The sequence below is a fragment of the Homo sapiens genome, chromosome 11, assembly GCF_000001405.40.
Source record: "Homo sapiens chromosome 11, GRCh38.p14 Primary Assembly".
In the NCBI taxonomy this organism is placed as follows: domain Eukaryota; kingdom Metazoa; phylum Chordata; class Mammalia; order Primates; family Hominidae; genus Homo; species Homo sapiens.
Window position 1 is genome coordinate 86,204,807 of NC_000011.10, and position 10,393 is coordinate 86,215,199.

A 10,393-nucleotide genomic window follows, 5' to 3' on the forward strand; every position below is an offset into this window, starting at 1 on the left:
CATGCCTCAGCCTCCCGAGTAGCTGGGACTACAGGTGTGCACCACCACACCCAGCTAATTTTTTGTATTTTTAGTAGAGATGAGGTTTCACCATGTTGGCCAGGCTGGTCTCAAACTCTTAGCCCCAGGTGATCTACCTTCTTCAGCATCCCAAAGTGCTGGGATTACAGGCATGAACCACCACACCCAGCCACAGCTCAGTATTTTAAAGCCACCTTTTCCCTTTTTGAGCTCCTTGAGCCAGTGTCTGGATGGTAAAGGAATATTTTGAACTGATTTGGACCTAAGGCTATCCAAGTATTTTAAGCAGAAGAGTGATAGGGCCTGTTGTTGCTCTTTTAACTCTAGACACACAGCATCTTGCTATGTCCTGTGAGCTCTACCCCATATGTGTCTGGCCCAGAGAAAGTCCTCAATAAATATTTAGTGAATGGCATGGACTTGCTACTAATTGTTAAGCACAGGAATGTTTTGTTTAGTCTATATTAGGTGAGTATAATGCTACAAGAAAACTGATTTCATAGAAACCTACAAGAATTTACTCTTCTCTTTTATTTATTGTAATAAATGTCCACTAAAATTATGTTATTTACCAGCCATCCAAATGTAAAATTAATCTTTTTTTTTAACAGTATCTCAGACATACACATTTAAAGCATACACATTAAGGAATAAGACAATAGAAAAGACACCCAAAGAAGTAGAACCAACTAAAATATAAAAACAAAATAACAAACAGTTTACCAATAAAGTGGTATACGTTTGCGTAACATCAATACAGAAACAGTAGCTAAGATGATTGCAAAAATGGAGTTAAGCAATACAAAGCTGCTTACAAGACTTGTACGTGTAAATTCTTGATCGTAATTGAACTAATGGTGGTGAAAATAAAGTTAAAATTTCCTGCAGATGTCAGGCGTGGTGGCTCACACCTGTAATCCCAGCGCTTTGGGAGCCTGAAGCAGGAGGATCGTTTGATCCCAGGAATTCTAGGCCGCAGTGAGCTATGATTGCGCCACTGCATTCCAGCCTGGGTGACAGAGAGAGAGAGAGACAGTGTCTCTAAATAATAAATACATACATAAAATATTAAAAAGAAATAAAAGAGATTTCCCATGGGAAACTTCATCATTTGCCTGCCATTCTAAAGTTGGAGTGGGGGGCAGAATAGGTAAGCTTTGGGTCCAGTTTATCATGAGAGAATGCATTAAGCAAACAACAGTTGAACAGAGTGTGGCCAGCTGGTACAATATGTCACAATGGTGCCATCATGAGACAAGGCCACGTAATATAAAAAGCGAGGAAGGAAATACAAACTCCAAGTAAAGACCAAATTGCTAAGGGCTGCAGGGCCTCCCAGACTACTCTTCATTCACAGCATAGGCTTCAAATGTGCCTTGTGAATGTGCATATGTAACATCTGAATGGATGTGCATTCTAAGTTAAAGTCAACACACATTTAAATCTGTACAGTTTTAGTTATTGATATGAACTTTCAGCCTCAGATTTTAGAATGATTTCTTCATGCTTAACAACATCACCAGATAACAAGAAGCAGCAAGCAAAAATGGCCTTTATGGTATTATAAAAAGTAAATATCTTTGTCTTATCTTTGTCCCAGATTCCTGGCACACAGCTCCCGAAACATTTTGGAATCCTGGGAATGATAAGGGTAAGACTATATTTTGCATGCTAATTAGATGTCTGGTGGCTGACGGCCCCTAGCAAGCTTCAGCATAGGGGCTGGAAGCCAAAAAGGCCAAGTCTTGATTAGAAACTTGGAACTTTCATCCCCATTCTGCTGGGGAGGGGAGAGGGGGTAGAGATTGAGTTCAATCACCAATGGTCAATGATTTAATGAATCATGTCTACTTAATGAAACTTGCATAAAAACCCATAAGCTGGCCGGGCGCGGTGGCTCACGCCTGTAATCCCAGCACTTTGGGAGGCCGAGGTGGGCGGATCACGAGGTCAGGAGATCGAAACCATCCTGGCTAACACGGTGAAACCCCGTCTCTACTAAAAATACAAAAAATTAGCCGGGCGTGGTGGCAGGCGCCTGTAGTCCCAGCTACTCAGAAGGCTGAGCCAGGAGGATGGCGTGAACCCGGGAGGCGGAGCTTGCAGTGAGCCGAGATTGCGCCACTGCACTCCAACCTGGGCGACAGAGCGACACTCTTTCTCAAAAAAAAAAAAAAAAAAAAAAAACCCATAAGCAATGGAGTTCAGAGAGCTTCCCAGTTGGTTAACACATCCGCATTCTGGGAGGGTAGCACACCCCAGCTCCATGGTACAGAAGCTGTTATGCTTGGGACTTTCCTGGGCCTCGTCCCTATACCACTCATTGGCTCTTCATTTGTATCCTTTAAAATACAAATATAAGTAAAGTGCCTTCCTGAGTTCTGTTGGCCAGTCTAGGAAATCATTGAAACTTAGGAGGGGGTTATGGGGATATTTGATTTATGGCTGGTCATATAGAAGTACAGGTGATCTAAAATAGCATGGTACTGGCATTAAAAACAGACATATAGACCAATAGAACAGAATGGAGAGTCCAGAAATAATTCCACACATTTATGGTCAATTGATCTTTAACAAAGGTGCCAGGAGCACACAATGAGAGAAGGGCAGACTATTCAATAAATGGTATTGGGACAATTGGATATCCACATGCAAAAGAATAAAACTGGACCCTTGTCTCACACCATATGCAAAAAAAAAAATCAACTCAAAATGGATTCAAGACTTAAACATAAGACCTGAAACTGTAGAACTACTAGAAGAAAACATAGGAAAAAAGCTTCTTGACGTTGTCCTCAACAATAACTTTTTTTGGTTATGACCCTAAAAGCACAGGCAGCAAAAACAAAAATAGACAAACGAGAGTGCATCAAACTAAAAAGCTTCCTATAGAAAAAGAAACAATCTATGGAATACAAGCTATGTGCAGGAGAAAAAAGACAAGAAACAACCTATAGAATGAAAGAAAGTATTTGCAAGCCATATATCTGATAAGAGGTTAGTATTCAAACTATGCAGGGAATTCAAACAACTCAATAACAAGAAAACACATAACCAGATTTAAAAATGGGCAAAGGGTCGGGTGCAGTGGTTCACGTCTGTAATCCCAGCACTTTAGGAGGCCGAGGTGGGCAAATCACCTGAGATTGGGAGTTCAAGACCACCCTGACCAACATGGAGAAACCCTGTCTCTACTAAAAATACAAAATTAGCTGGGTGTGGTGGTGCACGCCTGTAATCCCAGCTACTCAGGAAGCTGAGGCAGGAGAATCTCTTGAACCCGGGAAGCAGAGGTTGCGGTGAGCTGAGATTGTGCCATTGTACTCAGCCTGGGCAACAAGAGTGAAACTCCGTCTCAAAAAAAAAAAAAAAAAAAAAAAGAGAAAAGAAAGGCAAAAGACCTGAATAGACATTTCTCAAAAGAAGACGTATGAATGGCCAACAGGTATATGAAAAAATGGTCAACATCACTAATTATCAGGAAAATGTAAGTTAAATTAAAACCACAATGAGATATCACCTCACACATGTTCGAATAGCTATCAAAAAGACAAATGATAATACATGTTGGTGAGGATGTGGACAAAGGGGAACCCTTGTACAATGTGGGTCAGAATGTAAATTGGTACAGCCACTATGGAAAATCACGTAGAGGTTCCTCAGAAATTAATAATAGGACTACCTTATGACCCAGCAATCCCACTTCTGGATATATATCCAAAAGAAAGGAAATCAATATATTGAAGAGATATCTGCATCCCCACAATCATTGCAGCATTATTCACAACAGCCAAGACAGAAAATCAATCTAAGTGTCCATCAATGGATGAATGGATAAAGAAAATGTTTTACACACACACACACAATGTAATATTGTTCAGCCTTTCAAAATAAGGAAGTTCTGTCATTTATGACAATCTGGGTAAACCTAAAGGATATTATGCTAAGTGAGATAAGCCAGGCACTGAAAGACTACAGATACTACAGATCTCACTTATATGTGGAACTCATAGAAGCAGAGAGTAAAATGGTGGTTAACAGGGCCTGGGGGTAAGGAGAAAGGAATGGGGAGATACTGTCAAAGGGTAGAGGGTTTCTAACTGTTAGGATGAATAAATTCTGGAGATCTATTGTACAGCATAGTGATGATAGTTAAGAATACTGTATTGTATTCTGGAAAATTGCTAAGACAATAGATTTTAAATGTTCTCACTACAAAAAAGTTGTATGTGCAGTGATGGATATGTTAATTACTTTGATTTAATTATTTCACCACATATACATATATCAAAACCTCACATTGTACACTGTAAATATATATCATTTTTATTTGCCAACTATAGCTTAATAAAGCTAGGGGAGGGTGGAGAAGTACAGGTGATCTGATATTGCACGTAGCATCTGAAATGAGGGCAGCCTGTGGCTCTGAGCCCTTAAACCTGAAGAGTCAGAGGCCAACTCTGAGTAGTTAGTGCTAATTGAATTGGATTGTTGGACACCCAGTCAATTTCCAGAGACATGGAGAATTGGTTGGTGTGAGAAAACAACCCAAAAAGTTGGTGTCAGAAGTGCTGTAAGTAAAAACAGCTTACTTCTGGTAAAATGTACCCTACTAATTTTACTATTCTATTTATCTGGTAAAAAAAAATTAGTAGAATCTCATAGGTTCTGTGGGGTGTGTGTGTGTGTGTGTGTGTGTGTGTGTGTTCATGAGAAGTTTGGTTTGGTAGGTGCAGAAGTTTGGCTTTAGTGGATGTAGAAGTAAGTCTAGGGTTTTTTCCCTGAAATATTCCAGGTCTAGGTTTAGTCCTTGCTTTGTTCTTTCTCCTCGATATTCCATATTCCTTACTTCCTTCAAGTAAACTTCAAGTAAACTCACTGTTTTTGGAAACCAACATTGACCTCATTCAACTCAGTTACCTCTACTTGGTTCAGTCAAATACTCCAGTGTTTAACACATTCTGTAAGGCAGTGGAGAGCTGTGGAAAGGTTTTAAACCTTGAGAACATGGTAAAATTTACCACATGATTTTAGGTAATCACTTGGACCAGAGGTTGCATACCAGAGACTCAATGATAGAGGCTCTCTAGTGTAGTGCACAAAAAGCGCAAGTTCTGGAGTCAGCCAAACCTGAGGCCACATCTGGTTTTCAACACTTATTGGATGTATAACCTTGAACAAGTTACTCATTCTCTCCAAGCCTACATTTCTTCATCAAGGGCAATAGAAATCATTTTCAGTTAAGTCATGTTTGTAAAGCACTTAATGCAAACACTGGCATGTAGAAAGCACTCAGTAAATAGTAACTAGTAAGTTAATTGCTGTGTTGTTCTGTGAATGTTTTCTTTGTTGTTTCATGAGTCTTAACTGGATTTTAAACTCCTGGTCTGCATCTGTCTCTTTTACTTCCCACTAAGGGCACCTGATACAGTGTCTGACTAGATTCCATCCTAGACTCATTCCTTTTAGTCCAGGGCTGACCTGGTACAGTCCTGATTAGAAGGTTACTCAAATGTCATCCCGTTCCAACTCTGGGGCAACCTTATGTCAAAGGAAGGTAGACTAGGCCAAGGTGGTCTTTGACATCCACTTCTTTCTTTTTCATGACCCTGAAACCTTAAACTAGGATCACTTTAGGCTTCCCCTTCTGGACTCACACCTCACTCAATGCCACACTCCCACGCCACTCTTCTCCTGTCCACCTAGAATGAGTCCCTCGTTAAAACTGACTCTGGCCCGGCACAGTGGCTCACGCATGTAATCCCAGCACTTTGGTTGGCCGAGGAGTGCGGATCACTTAAGGTCAGGAGTTCGAGACCAGCCTGGCCAACATGGTGAAACCTTGTCTCTACTAAAAATACAAAAATTAGCCAAGCATAGTAGCACAGGCCAGGAGTCCCAGCTACTTGGGAGGCTGAGGCATGAGAATTCCTTGAACCTGGGAGGCGGAGGTTGCAGTGAGCCGAGATCACACCATGCATTCAAGCCTGGGTGACAAAAGTGAGACTCCATCTCAAAAAAAAAAAAAAAGAAAGAAAGAAAAACTCTGCCTTTCCAGCCCTATCTGCTCAGTAATTCATTGAATATGTTCAACAAACTTTTGCTGAGTGCTTACAGCATTCTACAAACTGGGGAAATAAAATGGAAGAGCTACAGTCGTTACACTCCAGTAACACATGTTTTGCTTATGCTATAATACAATTAGTGCTGGGATTAGTGAATTTCATCCCCAGAATTAGAACCACCTGTGAAGCTTTTAAAACTACAAATGCTTATGTCTCAGTTAATTTAGTAAATCTAGGTCAGACTCAGATATATAAAATCTCTGAAACTTTTTCGAAGATTTTACTAACAGCCAGGGTTAAGAACTACGGGATGTGTTGTGAGTAGAAAGGAGATAGGGATCACGGAGTGTTGGATGAACTTCTTGTTGGAGCATTAAATTGCATGCTGAAGGATGTGTGGTTTTCCAGAGAGAGAAGAGCATTCTAGGAAGAGGAAAAGCATAAAGCCAAAACCTAAGGCCTTTGAATTTATCAGTATAATTTTTACTAATATATGAGTTGAAGAGCGTTAGAAAACCCACTGTTGAATAACATTTATGCACACTAACTATAAACTTCTGAGCAAAATGTCCTTATTTTTATCCATCAATGCAGATGACACATACTATATTAACCATTTGTTTTCATGTTTAGTTTCTTCTACATATTAAGACCTTCTCAAAGGAGGGACATGTGACTTAGTATTTGTAACTCCACAATTGATACACAGTAGGTTTTTCAATCCATGTGTGTTAAATAAATGATGGTCATTATGTCATGATCTTAATAATGGGAGTTTCAAGTCAAGTGAAAGGAGAAATTTGGACGTGAGCTTTCAATTCCACTTGCAAAGCATGTAAGTGATCACCTCTTCTTTGTCTGTGTTGTGACCCTGTTTTGAAATATTCAAAAAGGCTGGGCGTGTTGACTCATGCCTGTAATCTCAGCACTTCGGGAGGCCGATGCAGGTGGATTGCTTGAACCCAGAAGTTTGAGGCTACAGTGAGCTATAATCATGCCACAGCACTGAAGGCTGAGTGACAGAGCAAGACCTTATCTCTTAAAAAGAAAAAAGAAAAGAAATACTCAAAATGTATCCATTTATTTGACAAGAATTTATTGAGTTTCTCTTATATACTAGCCTTTCTATTTATGTATTTGTTCTCAAAGTGATGTGAAATAATTTTTTAAAAATTATTTATAAGCTAATATTAGAGAAGGGAAGTTTGTACTTATTATTTTTTTTTTGAGACAAAGTCTCACTCTGTTGTCCAGGCTGGAGTGCAGTGGTGCATTCTCAGCTCACTGCAACTTCTGCCTCACAGGTCCAAGTGACTCGTGCCTTAGCCTCTGTACTTATTCTGACTATCAACCATGTGTTTGGTACTTTATATAGCTCCATGTCTGATCTGTAAAATATCATTTAATTTTTTGTCTTCACATCAGTCTTGAAAATAATCTTTCCCCTCCCACCACCATTTTTACAGAGAAGGGAGCTGACACTCCGAAGGTGCAAAGTCCAAGATCATATGACTCATGGACAGAAGCACCAAGATGTGGACCTAGCTTTGTCTTCCTTCAAAGCCCAGGCCTTTTTCCTCATACTATACCATCTCTTGGGTTGGATCTGTGAGCAAGGCCAGGTCTGAATGATTAAAAAGTCACTATTCAACCAACTGAGCCCACATGGCACACAGCATCAAAATGCTCACTTTAGCAAATTATCCCAAAGATAATTGCCATAACTTGATCAACTTCTTACCACGAATTCAGCAGTCTTGGAAATACAGTTTATGATTGAATCTATGAGCATGAAATGAAATGTAGGTTTTTTCAGTTTTTAAACAAAACTGGATAACTCTTATTGGCTTTTTTTTTTTTTCTGGTTTTGCTTGTTTTTAGGCCATTTCCTCCAACTGCTATTACTTCTAAACAACATAACCTAGAGTGTGTTAGCAATTATCTGGTTAATCTGACCAGCGTGAACATCCAGCCTACATAAAAATAATACTGAATTGACAACCAGAAAGTAAACTAGGGTGAAATTCAAAATTAGATTTCAAAATTATTAGGTCACACCATCACTAGGCCAAAAGTCTTGAGAAATTTATCCAAGTAGTTCACAATCATGGGTAGATATGGGGGCAGAAGAGGAGGATGGGATGGAGAACTAGTTAGTGTTCCCTTGTCGGGAATGAAAGGATTGTATGATATACACTATTCTCTACAGGGTATGCAGATATTCTCCCAAGAGCACTTCCATGCTGTGGCACTGGCTGGGCCATAGTACCAGAAAGGTGGTTCACAGACAGACTCAAAACTCTGGACTCTATGTGGAATGTTTATGGGCTCTTCATCCTCAGACCTTACCCTTTAATCCTTTCTTTTGGATCTATTTCCTATCTAGTGCCAGGGTTCTATGTGCATGAAATCTTGACTGTCCCTCTTGGGGAGTCCATGGCAAGATATGCTGGAAGCGGCGGAAGGTCCAGGGCAGTGACTCTGCCTCTAACCTCTAGGTAACCACCCAGATAGAAGGAGTCTCCTCAAGATAGGAAAGGCGTCAGATGTTCTAGCTCAGTTCTGGGACAGTGGTTCACCATTAGTGGATAGGAATTTTCTTTAGTCAGTCACTGAGTAGCACAACCCACATGTTCTCTAACTCAGGCTGTAGGGAAGGTCCTCCAAGTCCTTGACAAAGTTCTTCAGGAAACTGAGGAAATGGGCCTAATAAAAATTTAACTGTTGGTAGACTATGAAAGCCCAAGAGTATGATTAGTGCATTGGGGAGAATATTAGTTATAACTTTGCCTGCGAAGTACCCCCCTCTTCTTTAGGGCACACAGCCTCAGCAAGCAGGGCGATGCGGTCGAAGAAAAGAAGCCAGAACTCAATGGGGCAGTGTTGAACCCCAAAACCAGAGAATACCACTGGGAGCAACAGTAGGAAAACAGAGCAGAGCCTGTGAGGCAGTGAAATTGAGAGATGGGCACTCCCAGATTCTGGGTACTTCATGTACACCTGGGATATGTGCAGCCATCCTAGAACCTGCCTAGAAAGGAAGCACTTGAGGGACTAGTGTTCCTGCTCAAAACTGCCTGGGTACAAATTTGCTTCCTTAAAGTGGCTTGCCATTGATTCGTTCTCATTCATTATGCATTGGGTTGTTATTGTTTTTGTTGTTTTATCAAGTCTCAAGTTCTGTTGGTGTCTGTGTTCTACCCGCACTTATCTAGTGAGGTTGAAAATAAATAACAGACATTTAACAAGGCAGTAGAGCAAAAATGGTTAATAGTTTGGGCTCTGGATCTAGAAGACTTCATATTGTGACTCTGCCATTTCCTATCTATATATCCATGGGCAAATTTCTTAACCTTAATTTCCCTAAGACTCAATTTTCCCATCACTAAAATTAGAATAATAACTGTCACAAAATTATTATGAGGATTAAATAAGATGGATATATGTGAAGTGCTTAGATCTGTGACTACATATAGTAACTCTCAATAAATGCTATTCTTTATTATCATTATTATTAGGGTTTTAAGGTTCACAGAGCACTGTCATATGTATTTTCTCATTGGAATTAATTAGTGTTGACATACAATGCAAGTTAGGGGTGCGAAAGTAGATGGATAAGGGAAGAGACTGGTGAATGAGAGGTCCCTTCTTCCTCCTTGCTCTGGCATCTAACGTTAGATTAAATTTCTAAGCCGTGCCCGAACTCTGGATCTCATGCTCTCTCCTTTTCTCTCCCACTGGCTTTCCTCTTCCATCCTCTTAACTCTGTGGCTGGAATGTCCCGACGTGAGGCTCATCACTGCTCCAGCACAACCCCCTCCCCTTCACTTCGTCATCCAACCTTTCTCCATCTCAATCAGAAGATAGCTAAACCCCATTGAGGGCAGCAGGTGCACAGCCCACAGTGCTCACTGTTGGAGCAGGGCCTCTCTGGAGGAAATGCCCAGAGCAGTGGGAGGACTGGGAGAAAGCCTCAGTGTCACCCACAATGTTTCCCTGTTTCCTCTTCCTTGGGACTCCCCTTGTGGTGTGGCTGGGGAAATCCAGCCCAGTCATCTCTGAACTAAGAGCTTGATCTTCCAGTCTGGTTGCTTTGGGTGGGTAGAGCAGGCTGAAGTGACTGTCCCCACCCACACCCAACATTTCATGTTCATCTACTCAAACCCTCCAAAATGTTCTGTTCTTTTGGAGGACCACCCCTGCAATCTCCCAAATTAGCCAGAATGACAGATTCACACATGGAGCAGTTATGTTTGGCATACTTTTTCTGTAAGGTCCTCTAGTCACTATTAAAGATGATCACCCCT

At 40.8% G+C, this 10,393-nt stretch overlaps 1 annotated feature.

The window, feature by feature from the left end:
* Nucleotides 10,088-10,177: an enhancer, noted in NCBI's record as "active region_5373". NCBI's record gives its function as "activates an Ori minimal core promoter by ATAC-STARR-seq in GM12878 lymphoblastoid cells {active_cell/tissue: GM12878}" and the evidence as "EXISTENCE:reporter gene assay evidence [ECO:0000049][PMID:35858748]".